This window comes from Homo sapiens, chromosome 8 (assembly GCF_000001405.40).
Source record: "Homo sapiens chromosome 8, GRCh38.p14 Primary Assembly".
NCBI classification, from domain to species: Eukaryota; Metazoa; Chordata; class Mammalia; order Primates; family Hominidae; genus Homo; species Homo sapiens.
In genome coordinates this window covers 122,819,297-122,835,153 of record NC_000008.11, presented here as the reverse complement: position 1 = coordinate 122,835,153, position 15,857 = coordinate 122,819,297, and the positions used below count along the sequence as shown (strand labels likewise).

The following is a 15,857-nucleotide window of genomic DNA, read 5'->3' as shown; positions in this document are numbered from 1 at the left end:
TCCAGAAGATGCTACCTCTTATATTAGAAAATTTCAGTACCTCACCCAGTCTTATGAACTGACCCGGCATGACCTCTAGGTTATCCTCTCTTCCACCCTCACCCCAGAAGACCAAGACCGTATCTGGACTGTAGCTCAGGCACATGCTGATACCATTCATCACCAAGCTCCTGCCCAGCCTACTGGTGCGGAGGCAGTCCCCAACCAGGACCCCCACTGGGATTATCAAGACAGGGCCTCTGGATGCCACCGTTGAAACCACATAATTGTGTGTCTCCTTGCAGGACTCAAAAAGGGTGCCCATAAAGCGGTAAACTATGAAAAACTTTCAGAAATCACCCAAGGTCCTAATGAAAACCCAGCCCTTTTTCTCTCTCATTTAACTGAAGCCATTAAAAAATATACCAACCTAGACCCAGCTAGCCCAGAAGGAACCACTATCTTAAACCTTCGGTTCATCTCCCAATCCACCACCGATATTCGGCACAAGCTTCAGAAGCTTGATGACGGCCCTCAAACCCCACAATGAGACCTTCTAAATTTAGCCTTCAAAGTCTTTAACAATCGTGATGAGGAAAGTAAAAGGCAAAAACAGGCAGAGTTTCGAATGCTTACCTCTGCCATCAGGGGCCCTGCAGGCCCACGGGGCCATAGCTCCACACGGAAGCCTCCTAGCAATCCACCTCCACCTGGCGCCTGTTTCAAGTGCGGCAATGAAGGTCACAGGTCCAGACAATGCCCAAACCCAGGTAAGCGCACCAGGCCGTGCCCCCTCTGCGGAGGACCCCACTGGAAGTCGGACTATGAGCAGCCCCAGCAAGGACCGCCCCCATCCCTTCCGGAGCCGGCCAAAACCTCCTACTTGGATCTCATCGGCCCTGCCGCTGAAGACTGAGGGTGCCCTGGAACAGACGCCCTGGCAACTACCATCACTTCATCCAAGCCAAGGGTAACCCTGATGGTGGCAGGTGGGCCGGTATGTTATTTTTGAATTAATACCGGGCAACCTACTCTGCTTTACCTAATTTTTCAGGACCCACCCAGTCCTCCCAAGTCTCCGTTGTGGGAATTGAGGGACAAGTCTCCAAACCCTGAGCCAGCCCTCCACTTTTCTGCTCCCTGCACACCTTTTCCTTCACTCACTCTTTTTTTTTTTTGAGACGGAGTCTTGCTCTGTCGCCCAGGCTGGAGTGCAGTGGCGCGATCTCAGCTCACTGCAAGCTCCGCCTCCCGGGTTCACGCCATTCTCCTGCCTCAGCCTCCCGAGTAGCTGGGACTACAGGCGCCCACCACCACGCCCGGCTAATTTTTTGTATTTTTTAGTAGAGATGAGGTTTCACCGTGTTAGCCAGGATGGTCTCGATCTCCTGACCTCGTGATCCACCCGCCTCGGCCTCCCACAGTGCTGGGATTACAGGCGTGAGCCACCGCGCCCGGCCCGCTCACTCTTTCTTAGTCCTGCCCTCATGCCCAACTCCGCTCCTAGGCAGAGACATCCTTTCAAAACGCCACACTACTCTCCACATCCACATTCCCCATAGTACCCAACGCATCAACCCAGACTCCTCTGGGCCATCTAACTTTCTTCTACTCCTCCAACCTCCCACCTTAAAACATGCAACTTCTCCTTATCCGCCGCCCGTAGTTAACTCCGCAGTTTAGGATACTTCCACACCTTCAGTCACAGAACACCACACCCCCGTCCGCATTACTGTTAAAGAGCCCACCCAGTTCCTATCACAGAAGCAGTATCCCATTCCTCAGCAGCTCTCATAGGCCTAAAGCCTATCATTTCTCACCTCCTCACCAGTCGCCTACTCCGCCCAACAAACTCCCCTTTTAACACACCAATTCTACCTGTTAAAAAGCCACATGGAACTTAATGCTTAGTCCAGGACCCCAGGCTCATTAACCAAGCTGTACTCCCGGTATGTCCAGCAGTTCCTAACCCATATACTTTACTTTTCACGATTCCCTCCAATACCACTCATTTTTCTGTTCTAAACCTTAAACAATGCCTTTTTCACAATTCCTTTACACTCGAATTCCCAAAACCTCTTTGCCTTTATGTGGGAAAATCCTGACACCCACATTTCACGTCGGCTCACCTGGTGTGTACTACCTCAAGGTTTCAGAGACAGCCCCCACCTCTTCGTACAGGCCCTTGCTTGCGACCTTTTTACCTTATCCCTAAAACCGTCCACTCTCCTTCAATGTGTTAATGATCTGCTCCTGTGTAGCCCCTCTCAAAGGGACTGCAACGCCCATACTATCTCTTTTAAACTTCTTGGCAGAACGGGAGTATTAGGTCTCCCCTAAGAAAGCACAAATATGCACCTCCTCGGTCACCTATCTAGGCCTAGCTCTTACCCTGCAAACCCGAGGGCTCACAACCGACCGCATATCCCTCCTCCAGTCCCTCCCGCCTCCGCAAACTAAGCAAGAAATTCTCTCTTTTCTAGGACTAGCAGGATATTTTAGGCTCTGGGTTCCCTCCTTCGCTCTACTTGCCAAACCGTTATACTAAGCTGCTAAAGGCCCTCTCCATAAGACTTCAAACCCTGCACAGCCTATTCCCCAACCTTTCTGTCTGCTCCAGAAGGCTCTCACCTCAGCCCCCGTGCTCACTCTCTCAGACTTCACCAAATCTTTCTCCCTCTATACCGACGAACGGCGTGGAGTTGTACTGGTGTTCTAACCCAGTCTAAGGGACCCACCCTCCAGGTTGTTGCCTACCTCTCCAAACAGCTTGAAGCCACAGTTCTCAGACGGCCTGCCTGCCTCTGAGCATTGGCGGCAGCTGCTGTCCTCACCCTTGAAAGCCTAAAACTATCTCTCCAAGCCAAACTAACAGTTTATTCAACCCATAACATCAAAGACAAGCTAGCTCACCGCAGTGTACTAAGTCTCATCTCTGCCCCACGGCTCCTCCAACTGTATGCTCTATTCGTAGAAACTCCCCACATCACCGTCTAACCATCTCCCATCTAAACCCGGCCACGCTCTTACCTGAAGCTGCAACTGCCCAAGACCCTACACATTTCTGTGTAAACACTGTTCAAACCTTCCTTATACCTTTTCCAAACCTAACAGACCAACCCCTTCCAGATGCCTCCTTTACTTGGTTTTGAATGGCAGCTCCTTCCTACATCAAGGACACCAGAATGCTGGCTATGCTGTAGTGTCACCACCCCACATGCACACTATTGAAGCCAATCTCCTCCCGCTAGGCACCACCTCCCAAGAAGCTGAACTCATCGCCCTCACTCGAGCTCTCACTCTAGCAGCAGGACAACAGATCAACATATATTCAAATTCTCATTATGTGTTCCACATAGTGCACTCACACTCATCCATCTGGAAAGAACGGGGTATCCTAACTGCAAAAAACACTCCTGCCATAAATGGCTCTCTCATCAACAAGCTCCTTAAAGCTGCCAGGCTCCCGCAAAAAGTTGCCATCATTCATTGCAGGGGCCACCAAACCCCAGACAATCCTATATTGGCTGGAAATGTGCTAGCAGATCAGGTAGCCAAACAAGTGGCCCTACAACCCGTGCAAGGCCAGTTTCTGTCCCTGTCCTTGTTCTCTCCGCTTTACTCCTCAGAAGAAAAGGAGGACTTCCGAGCCCAAAACCTTCAAAAGCAAGGACCATGGTATGTCAAAGAAGGGCGCTTCGTTCTTCTTCACTCTCAAAGCCTTCCTCACCTCCAAAGCCTCCACAAGTCTTTCCATGTTGGTTACAAACCTCTCCTGTAACGTCTCCGCCCTAGCCTCACTTGTCCTCACCTTTCCAGCCATGTTTGATAAATTACCCAGTCCTGCTCTATCTGCCACTCAGTGTCATCCCAGGGCTCCCTCTGGCCGCCGCCTTTTCCTACCCACCAAGCCCGAGGCCAGGTACCTGGGCAAGATTGGCAGGTAGACTTCGCTCACATGCCGCCCGATAAACGGCTCTGCTATCTTCTAGTCTTTGTCTGTACTTTCTCCAGATAAGTAGAAGCATTCCCGACAACTTCAGAAGCTGCAAATATTGTCACACAAACTCTTATGCATATAATTCCCTGTTTTGGACTCCTAACATCCATCCACTCTGGTAACGGGCCCGCCTTCATCAGCTAAATTACCCAAGGCGACTCTACATCCTTAAGAATAAAGTAAGTTCTCCACACACCCTACAGGCCTCAATCGTTAGGCAAAGTTGAAAAAATTAACCCTGTCCTTAAAGCCCAACTCACCAAGCTGGCTCTAGAAACCCGCCAGTTGTGGACAAAACATCTCCCTTTTGCCCTCATGAAACTGTGCAACACCAAAAGCACCCTCTTTTTATAGTCCCTTTAAAATCATGTATGGCCAAACTTTTGTCTTAGGGCCTCCATCCTTACCAGACTCTGAGCCACGCAGTAATTACCTCCCCTCCTTAATCCAGACACGGTGTTTCATTCATAAAGCAGCAGATGAGGCCATGCTTCTCCCTGTCGACACCTCCTTGTCCTCTCAACATAACTGTCTTGCAGGCACAGACATATTTCCAGACAATGCAGGCGATGCTCCTGCTACAACGACATGGTGAATACCAACCCATCTCTCAAGAATACCTAAAAATTAAGGTTTTCTTTTTCCAACGTGCCCACACCACCCCCTATGTCCCGCCTGAAGTAGTTATTAAGAAAGTTGTCCCTTTTCCCTTTTCTATAACCAAATAGACAGGAATGTAAGATTCTCCCCGGGGCCTGAAAGCTTAAGGGGATGAATAACTCCTCCCTTCTCAGGCCCAGTCCCAAGGTGCAAGGCTACTTGTGCCAGCAGTGTGCGCCAGCAAAATAGCAGAAGCAGGAAGAAGGCCAGCTGGAAGACACGTACCCCTGAAGATCAAGAAACAGGCCATCTGGGTACAACGTAGCAGTTACATCAGACTAGGACACTTCCTGTTTACAGGACACTATAAATCCTTTGCCCCGTCCTCACTTGGTGCTGACGCCATTTTAGGCCTCAGCCCGTGTGCACCCAGGCTCTCATTAAAACAGCAAGTTGCTCCACACCGCCTCCTGTTGTCTGTCGGCACACGCTCAGGGTTTGAACTGATACAAGAACCTTACAAGTAGGTCTCAGCCTCATTTTACCCAGCCTCCATTCAAGATGGAGTTGCTCTGGTTCAAATAGCTCTGACAATATTGAAAACTTAACATGCTTCCGTCCCTCAATGTGGCACATTCAGACTCTCCCTAGTGTCAAACCCACTTCTTCATCACCAACAGGGCTCCACTTCACAATCTGCCTATGCCATTCCTTCCACCAGTTGAGGGAAGGCCATTGCTACTTGTAAATGTCTCTCCAAACTCACCTTATATGTGCAGAAAGCTTGTCAAGATGAATTCTGGCTGGGGTCATTTATTTTATATCCTTTTGGCACTCTGAAAATTCAGAACACTCAACTCTTACAGCTATAGCTTTTCAACTGTTGTCACAGAAACTTGCTTGTGTATTTGGTCTCTACCCTGTTCCTCAGCACTTGAAGGTGGGACCAATCTTTCATGTGTGGTTCCTAACAGTGCTCAAATAGAAATATGTTTTTCCCCAACTCTTACAATGAGGTGGGAGAGTTTTCATATTGTTCTTATTCTCATTTTCTCCCTGATTTGTATGGATGTAGGTACGTCCATGTCATTATAAAGAGAATATAAGCACATTAAATAAACTTTGAAAAGTAAAGAAAAAACTAGCATAGTTCATTACCCAACTCTAAGCATTGTTATAAGTTCTTGAAGCTTCTGTGACAGTAAAAGTTAACAAGCCTTGTTTGATGCAACTTTTGCAGAGTTGAACAAATGATTTTGGATTTGCAGATTTGAAGTTGGAATGTACCATAAGATAGCCTTGGTAGTTTAGTTTAGCTGTGATTAAGAAAACACATCCTTCCTAGGTTGATGAATCCTGGCTCAGCCATTTACCAGCGGTGTGGCTTTAGGCAAGCTGCTTGATCTGTCCATCTTTGGGCATATCTGTATGCCTTCAGAAAATGTTATTCCACTACACATATGTTACATATAGTCCTCATTTTACATAATGTCCCATGCAAGCAGCTACCCTTACTATTACAGAGTCTTCATAACCTAACTTCAAATTGTTCTATAATATTCTATTTAATAAATGGCTCAGAGTTAAGTAAATGTTTTCTTTTTGGTGAAATGTAGTGTTTTAATAACTGAAAAAAAGATCAATTTCTTCAATTTGTAGTGGATAAATAAATGAATTATTATCTGCCATCTCCTGGGTACTCTGTGTAAAATAAAATAAAATAAAATAAAAACCTACAACACCCTGGGTAGAGCCCAAACCGGTTGTACTTCATTTATATTCCCAATGAGAACAACCTAGAATGAGCCTTCCAAGAACCCCTTTGCAGGCACGATCCATCAGCCCTGCGAAGCGTGGGAACACACCTGCGATTAAATGAACCACTCATTCCCTCAGAGCAGTCCCTTCTCAGTGCCCATGGCCACCAGGGCTGCCGCCAGCACATCCCCCACAGCCCATGGCCCCGCCTAGTTATTACACAGAGCATGAGGAGCTCTCTGGTCAACAAGGTATGTCACAAGGACAGCGTCTCCTGCCATGGGTTTAGCTGCACACTGGTAGATGCATTCGTGGGCCGCAGCTCTCCCTGTCTTCCTGGGTTTTGGTTTCTCTTCTGTTACTCTTATCCACATAGTGACCACGTAATGACCCTTATGCTCAGCCAGCATAAGAATGCACCCTCCCTCCAGTCTCCTGGTGTGTGAGTGAGATCCTCTTCCTCCATATCACTAACACACACACGCACATGCACTGTACAGATACTTTCTCTATCTTCAGCTCCTGAAGAAACAGGAATTTTTGTTTCATTCCTCTCCTAAGCCCTAGGTCTGTGCTTCTGTCCACTCCACAGGGGTGCTTTTGTTCCATATACGCTGCACTCGCCTCTGCTCTCCTGGCCAGTGCTGTCTAGGTGCCCTTAGGTCTCTCCTGCGAGCCAGCTTTTCTCTTTTATTTATTTATTTAGAGACAGGGTCTCACTGTCGCCCAGGCTGGAGTGCAGTGGAGAGATCATGGCTCACTCCAACCTCAACCTTCTGGGCTCAAGTGATCCTCCCATCTCAGCCTCCCGAGTAGCTGGGACTACAGTTGTGCACCAACATGTCCAACTAATTTTTAAATTTTTTTGTAGAGGCAGGGTCTCGCCATGTTGCCCATGCTGGTCTTGAACTCCTGGGCTCAAAGGGATCCTCCTGCCTTGGCCTCCCAAAGTGTTGGGCTTACAGCCATGAGCCACTGCATCCAGCTCTTCTCTATTTCATCTTGTCTCTGTATTTAATATTAGGTTGGTGCAAATGTAATTGTGGTTTTTTCACTGCAACTACTTTTGCACCAACCTAAATACTTTAAAGAGGGCTGCCGACCTTGAGAATCCCATTTCTTAATTATTTATGTACAGATTCTCTCCTTTTTCACCCCCTAAAGATTCTGATTCTGAAGTCAGATTCTCTTTTTTTCCCCTAAAGATTCTGATTCTGAAGTCAGACAGATCTGGGTAACCTTGGGTCTGTTACTTAATTTTTTGAGCCTCAGTTTTCTCATCTGTAAAACAGGGCTCTATTAGTACCAACTTTCTTCACAGAGTTGTTGCAACAATTAAGTGATCTAATACATGTCCTGCACTTGGCACAGTGCTTGGCACTGAGAAAGCACACAAATGTTAGCAAGTATTACTATTGTTATCATCATTAATTATATTAATGAATAACAATCCTCGGTAGTTAAAAAAAAGCTTACGTAGGCTGGGTGTGGTGGCTTACACCTGTAATCCCAGCACTTTGGGAAGCCAAAGCAGGCAGATCACCTGAGTCCAAGAGTTTGAGACCAGCCTGCACAACATGGCGAAACCCTGTTTCTACAGGGGAGAAAACAAACAAATAAATCCCCAAAATTAGCTAGGCATGGTGGCGCAAACTTGTAGTCACAGCTACTTGGGTGGCTGAGGTGGGAGGATCAATTGAGCCTGGATTCGAAGGTTGCAGTGAGCCGAGATAGAGCCACTGCCCTCCAGCCTGGGAGCGAGATCCTGCCTGAAAATAAAATAAAAATAAAAATGCCTAAGGTGCCTTCAGAGCTTGTCATTTTCTAAATTCATCCATCCTAGGCTTTCTCACCTCCGCCTAGGAACCCTGTTCAACCTAAAACTCTTAACTCTTGGTTAATTTTTCTTTTCCATGGACTTATAAAATTAACAAACCTATATTAAGAGTCAGAAGACTCTGAATTCTACTCTCACAGAAGAGTAAAAATGGCTGTGACCCTGCACATGTAACAGTCTCTCTGGGTTCTCTCTCTCTTGCCTGAAAAATGAAGAAGTTGGATCTGAACACATTTTTCCGAACACATTCTAGAAGCTTCCACCTTTCCAAAGACAATCGCCCCTTACACACAGACCTTTTGGCTAGAGCAGTGCCGTGCGCTGTGAACAAGCACACTCCCTAGCACCGCCCCTAAGCTGCACCTCTGTTAGCTCCGTGTCAGGATTTGGATGGTGTCTACACTGCCCGGCGCTTCAGCAACCTCAAAGGGCTGACCCAGACCCTTTCATAAAAAGAAGATTCTAATTGGTATAAATCTCAGCTCTGTAAGGAAGGAAAATGAACTGCAAGCTCTGCTGAAAAACTAGGACAAGGTTCTCTTTAGCAAGTCTGCAGGTACTGTTCTGACAATCACTGGGTATCATGAGCCTTAAAATATGCCCCCGCCTGGTACAGTGTCTCCTGATTAAGCTGGCTGCCAGGCTGAGGGCATGGCAGGCAGAAATGGCAAATTTCAAAACCACACAATTACTAGTAGTTTGGGAAAAACCGTTGGGAACACCATGCCAATCATTTAATTCATTTTCCAAGCCCTTTTTAAATGCAAAATATGCTAATATGTTGTTGGAGTGTCCAGCATGGAACCTGCTAAACCCAGGGCTGGTGGGAATGGAGCAAGGCGAGAATAATGGCCCATTTTCCCTCTAGTGAAGAAAATAGGGCTGATGCCACTAGGCTCAAGTGTTTCTTTGTACTCCCTTCAGCTGCAGAAGGTGTGATCACCCTTAGAGTCACAGATTCGGGAATAATGGGCTTCTTTTCTGAGCAGAGCCCAAGTCCTGCCCCTGGTAAGTGAGATGTATCCTTGAGTTGTCTGTTAACTCCTCCTGGAGAGCAGGGGATAATGAAGGAGGAAATAAAGAGAGGGGGAGAGGGGAATTTATGGCTTGATGGAATACATTAATTTAGGTCCAAAGGGGTTGGTGCAGCGTGGTTTCTGACAAATGACATTGTCCTGCTTTTTGTAGCCCTCCATTTCACTTACCTGCATATGGAGAAGGATAAATTACAGACCAGGAGTCTCTCTTTGAGGTTGCAGGTGAATCAGCTTCTTTACCAAATATTATAGCCATTTTGCCAAAAACCATGCACTTCTTGTTGGTAAGAAGGGAACTTAGAGGTCATGGACTCTGAGCCCCTGGTTGACAGAGGCATATCTTCATATGTCAGGAGACTAAAAACATGGACTAAAATATGGTGGCCAGGATCTCTCTTGACCTCAGAGAGGCCTGATCCCATGGCAGAGCTCGAAAACTAGGACTTGGAGGGAGGCGGTTTAAGATCATTGAACAAGAACAGGGATGGGGTGTAGGAAGACAGCTCAGCCAAGGCAGCCAGAACAACCCACATGCTTACCAAGTACCAGAGATGTGCCAGTGGTTGAGTATAACGACCATGCCCCGGCCATAAGGGAGTCATGACCCAGCCAGGCAGCCAGGCACTAAGCCAGCTATAAAGCAATGTGACAAGTACTGTGACAATGGGGCACAGAAGGTGTGGGGGTCATCAGGGGAGAATGTGCATGTGCAAGAGGATATACCAACAGGCAGATGGTGTGACTGGAGGTGCAGCAGGCAGAATAGTGCCATCACCCTCAAAAGATGTCCACATTCCAATCTCCAGAACTTGCAGTTATGTTCCCTCACATGGCAGAAAGGACTCTGCAGATGCGATTAGGTTCAGGATCTTGAGATGGGGAGATTATCCTGGCTTAACCAGGTAGGCTCAATGTGATCACAAGGGTCTTTATGAATGAAGGAGCCAGGCAGGAGAGTCAATGTTGGAATGATGCGGCTGGAGAAAGACTCAACTGACCACTGCTGGCTTTGAAGATGGACGGGGGCTGTTAAGTCAAAGAACATGGGCAGCCTCTGGAAACTGGAAAAGGCAAGAAAATGATTCTCCTCCAGAGCCTCCAGAAGGAACAGCCCTGCCAACACTCTAATTTTAGCTCAGTGAGGTCCACTTTGGACTTTCAAACTCCAGAACTGTCAAATAACAAATTTCTGTTGTTTTCTATCATCAGTTTTTGGTCATTTGTTACAGCAGCCATAGAAAACTAATACAGGAGGACAATCAGACCAAGAGATGGGGGACCCAGGGGACCGGCCCTATATTGGTACCAGTGATCCTCTTGGACCCTCTGTTTCTTTCTCCGAAAAACATAAGCACTGGGCTGGATGATATCTAAGGTACATTCCAGTTCTGACACTTTGTATTTTGATGGAAGAGGGGAACAGGCACTGTACAATGGCTGACAACTTGTTGCGAGGGTTGACAGAGAACAGCACGTCCCCGAGCATGTTCGGTAGAATTTCAGTTCTATGGGCTGTGGGTGAGGGTTCATTGGACAATATCTCTCCATGCAGCAAATCACTACTGAGCATTTCCTAGGCCCTGTTTGTTCTAGGCACTTAGAGTCAGTGGTGCATGGGACAGGCTCTGTCCTCTGTCCTCATGGAGCTGAGATCAGCGAGTGAGCCAATGCACAGGTGAACTTATAAGTACACAAGTACACAAGCTAATTTCTGCCAGTCATTAATGCCATAAAGAAAATGCATCCTAGTGATGAGAAAGAGCAGGTTTCCACAGGGTGGACAAGGCCGGCCTCCCAGGGTCAGCTTTGACTCAGGACTAAGTGATGAGATGAGACAGGCATGAAAGAAAAGGGGAAAGAAGTCTGAAAAAATATTGAGCTCAACAAAATTAAACAGAATTATATATGGAGGAGTTCTGAGGGTTTGAATGTCTGAATTGATTCATGTGTTCATTCGACACAGTGTTTTATTAAGTTAGACAGTGTTCTAGGTGCCAGGGATACAGTCTTCAACAAAACAGACAAGTGCCCTACAGCATGGAGCTTCACTACTGTGTGGAAGACAGACAACGCAAAAGTCAACAGGTAAATATGAAATCAGGAGGTAAAAGTACTCTGAAGAAGAACTGAGCAGGATGAGTGGATAGAAGGTGTCAACAGCAGCCGTAACTGGTCTGGGAAGACCCCTCAGAGCTGTCCATATCTGAGCAGAGATCTAATATGCATTAGATCAGTATGCATTTCCCAAACTGAAATGACAAGGGAACCTCTTTGTCACAGAGCATCTTGCAGGACTGCTTCTGAGAACCTGCTTTGAGAAAGTGGGCATGGAGACAGTCGGAGTAGAAAGTGGGATCTTCAGAGTCCCAAGACCTGGGTGCTCATGTTAGAATGGGGACTCTGAATCTCATAAATGCAAAGTAAGACCTTTCATGTAGGAGTCTTATCACCCACCCCCAACTGGGAGGTCTCTGCTTCGACTTCAGGGTTGGAAAAGCACTGCACATACTCTCCCCAGCTGCCCTGGATTCACGCTGATTCTGCAGGGTTCATGAAGATGGAGAGTACATTTAACCCATGGTTAGACGAGATGGCCTTTGCAGGCCTGAGCAGATGCTAGTTTTTCACATGTCAGAGAGAGCTGAGTATAAGAACAGGAATCCTTCTTCTAGGATGTTACTTGTTGTAAAGAACATGTTATTCATTTTAAAGTGTGGCCAAGAGACAATGATCAAGGTCCCCAATTCCAGGGACCTTTGCCCAAGATTTCCTTCTGTCTTGATAAAGGAATAAATAAATTTGGCACCCAAAGACCAGACACAGGATCTGGGACCCAGACCAGGACACACGCTGTATTCATGGGAAGGACACATCCTGAGAGGGTTACTAACATTCTCCCCAAGGAGCTCATAGGGAATTTTACAGAAAACATACCACCTGTCCCTGCAACGTCCTTTCCTGTCTAGAGGAGGCTGTCTGGACTTTCTCACAGCTGAAATCGGATGAGGTACATTATGTATTCAAGTCCTATTGCAGCAAGCCTTCCAGCCTGCCACACTGAGCCACCACCTGCCCAGCTCCAGCAGAAACGCCTCTCTCGGGAGCAGTCTCCACTCACCATCCGCCGGGCTCCGCGCCCACCGGAGGACCACTCCGATAGCCCAGGCACAGGCCTTACCTGGCAGGTGGTGATGTCGCTGGCTTCCCACATTCACCCGGCAAGAAGTCAATGCAGAGACAGATGGGAAGAGTCTACCCAGAGAGCTGTCATCTTTTCCGGACCTCTGCTTCCCAGGAGTGGGGAGATGAGCACTGGACCAAACCCAGGAGCAGTCCCTCTGCTTGGGAGGCTCTCGTCACCTTCTTTTCACCAGTCATCTTTTCAGCTCAGTTACCACTTCCTCCGGGAAGCTGTCTCCATCAGGGTAAATCCTGCCATTTGCAGTTTTTATAGCACATCAGGCCTCCTTTTACGAGCATGCCTCCTATGAGATGGCTTCAAGTCTGAGGTCTGCTACTCGCTGGTCCTTGAGCAAATCCCACTGTTCCCTGGGCCTCAGTTTTGAAGGAAGGGGGTTGATAAAATGCTCTCTCAGGTCCCTTTTGGTTCCAACCTCTGGGATTTCCCTTCCCAAAACAAGAGCCGCCATCACAGCAGCAACCCAAGTGGAGGTCTTGACCTTCAGAAAATCCCCTTCACTCGCTGGGCCTTCGTTCACTTAGCACTAAAATCGTGGGGTAAGTTATGATACTGGTTTCCAAGCATTTTAAGGCATGAAATTCATTTTTTCAAAATGCAATCTAATACCTAATAGCAGTAAGAGTAGAGCTGCTTTGCTTGACATAGGAGCCAGGGTCTGGAAGTCCCCTTACTGTTGGGCCTCCGAGGCATCCTCTCTCAATAGGGCTCCTAGAAGCACACTTTTAAAGTCACACTAGGCTGGGCACGGTGGCTCATACCTGTAATCCCAGCACTTTGGGAGACCAAGGAGGGTGGATCACCTGAAGTTAGGAGTTCAAGACCAGCCTGGCCAACCTGGGGAAACTCTGTCTCTACTAAAAATACAAAAATTAGCCAGGCGTGGTGGCACATGCCTGTAATCCCAGCTACTCGGGAGGCTGAGGCATGAGAATCACTTGAAACCAGGAGTTGGAGGTTGCAGTGAGCCGAGATCGCGCCACCGCACTCCAGCCTGGGTGAGACTGAGACTCTGTCTCTAAATAAATAAATAAATAAATAAATAAATAAATAAAGTCATGCCTGTAGCATCACTGTGTGTCAAGTTCTAATGTCTACCCGCTCTCACCTCACATCTCTGTGTTGCCTGCATCCTATGGGGTCCAGGGATCTTCTTTTGAGAAGTGTCCAAAAGATAACAAAGGCATGAGTGCTCCTTTTTTTTTTTTTTTAAGTGTTTGATTTCAAATGAGGCTCCAAAGGATGTAAGATATGAGATTTATCAAGGCAGGAGGAGAGAAGCCAATAAATTACCCTATTTGCAAATCATTGCTATGGAAGCCAAAGCCCCAACTGTTAAAACAAAGGAGATAAGCCCTTACTATAGCTTAGCCTGCTCACAGAGGAGGCACAGATGCCCACGGAGCTGGCCCAGCCCCCAACAAGCCCCTAGGCACCTCCATTGTATCCCATCCCAGCGCCCAGCAGAACTCTAGTTCCCGTCCATGCAGGGCTGGGCAGCAAGTCAGGAAGCCTGGCAGCTGGTTCCCAGGAGTTGCCAGCAGATCCAAGGACACAAAGAGGGACTCCTGGTCCCTGCAGAACCAGCGCACCCCTCCTCCAGAATCTAGAATTCGCGAGAACATTGCCCACCCCTCACTGCTACCCAGATGTGAACGGCTGTGTGGCTTTCCATGGCGAGGGCTGCACACTCCTTCCTTTCTTTATTTCTGACTCCTCCTGAATCATCACCCTCTGCTGGGTGAGCACAATGTGCAGAGGTTTTAGGGGCTGGGGAAACATCCCTGCTGCTTCCATGTCAGGGAGACATAAAAACACACTAAGAAACCTTTTGGCAGGAGGCTCAAGGCACGGGCCTGTGTGGGCACCTGGCCGTTGGCTTTGATTTGGAAGCCAGGGTGGCTGACCTTTCGGAACCAGAGAGACACCTTTAATATTCGGAGACAGCTGATTTTTATTCTTATTATTTTTAAAGGCTCTAAAGCACCCATAAAACCATCTCGTGGAGTTGAAGCTTCCTTTAGTTTTCCTTCCATTCTTATTCAGCTTATAAAAATGCATAAAATCAGGAGTCATTCTGCCACCCCAAATGCATCCCTCTCTCAGCCCCGTCGTCTGGTGACTATTCTCCGTATCAATCCCAAGACAGCAGCTGAGCTTCCTGCACAATCCGGCATCTCCCCCATCCCCCGCTCCCGCTCCCTTGTCCTGTTCAGTCCTCTTGAATTTTAACTGTCAACTCTCCAGTGACAGACACAGCAAGCTTGAAGGGGAGGGAGGCGGGTGCTATTTATAATTCGGCGGCGTTCACCCTCAGAACACGGCCATTTTTTCCAGGCCGCCTGCCAGAGGCCCACATTCCCCAGGCTCTATATATGGGCTTCTCCACAGGCCCCTGTGGCCATCTCCTCGCCTCTGAGGGGCCCAAGGCAGCCTGGCCAGTCAGAAAGGCAGGGCCAGCTCTGCTCCTCCCTGGCCTGCGAGGAGGCCACAGCCAGCCCCACAGCCTGGACTTCCTCTGGGACAGAGGACAAGAGTCAGGGACCCTGGGGGTACTGATCTGACAGGGACTGGAGAGCAGCCGGCTTTTCCCCCTGGGTTTGAGTAAGAATGGCAAGGAAAAAAAAATGTATTCTTGCTATCAAACATTAGATCACCCCTTCTTTTTGCCAAGTGGTTTTCAATTGTTTCCATCGTGATGTGACTGAGGTCCATGGCAGTCTCGCCAACCCCTGAGAGCTCTGAAAGCTGGATTTATGGACGCCTTTAGCTAGGCAGATGGGAGGGGAGGCCTGGGGAGGGTGGGCAGCCCAGCCAAGGCGAGGGTGTGGGGCTTTGGCCAAGCAGATATTTTCTGCAGGCTCTCAGCTTTGATTAGCATATATTAAGGATACGGGAGAGAAAGGTGTCCGGCCTCTTGTGGGTATTTGGATGTAACCACTTCACTGCCTTCTGGAAGCCAAGCCTGGAGGCAAAGGAAGGGCCTGACCCAGTGGAGTGCCCAGTCTGGGCTCTCGTCAACTTTGTCCTTTCTATGCCGATGCCTGTGGGGCCAGGCTGAGGCCAAAAATGAGCTGGGGTCCCCATGGAGCAGGACACCCCCTCCAATTTCATGCGGGCAATTCTACTTTGGTTTCTTGGATAGTGCCTGGAAAACCTCCTTAGGAACTGACTGCAGTGGAAGCAGATGTGTCCCAGTCTGGCCACTTGAACATCAGGAACACTCTTGTTCCCAGGTAATCTTTTTCTCCTCCTTTCAAACCAAGTTCAAGTCCTTCTTCTAAAAAGCCTTCTATGGCCATCTTTGTATCTCCTCCTGAGGATGGAGAGCATCTACTGTGAGCACGCATGCTGGGAATAACGGTCTGGACTGCTGGCATGCTTACTCTATGCCATGCATTTAGCATGGAGCATCTCATAAGGCTCTGGTGGGAGAGTGCCATTCTG

At 48.1% G+C, this 15,857-nt stretch overlaps 1 protein-coding gene across 20 annotated transcripts in view; it reads right to left on the bottom strand.

The window, feature by feature from the left end:
- The window catches only part of ZHX2 (zinc fingers and homeoboxes 2), a 194,132-nt gene that overhangs the window by 139,357 nt on the left and 38,918 nt on the right, over positions 1 to 15,857 (bottom strand). For 2 of the 20 annotated variants that reach the window (XM_011516932.4, XM_005250836.6), the window contains exon 1: positions 12,390 to 13,186. The exons of 17 other annotated variants lie outside the window; for them this stretch is intronic. The gene's annotated coding sequence lies outside the window, so the exon portion shown is untranslated. Of the gene's footprint in view, positions 1 to 12,389; positions 13,187 to 15,857 lie in introns of those variants that run through there. One more of the 20 variants, NM_001412808.1, reaches the window with a different exon arrangement.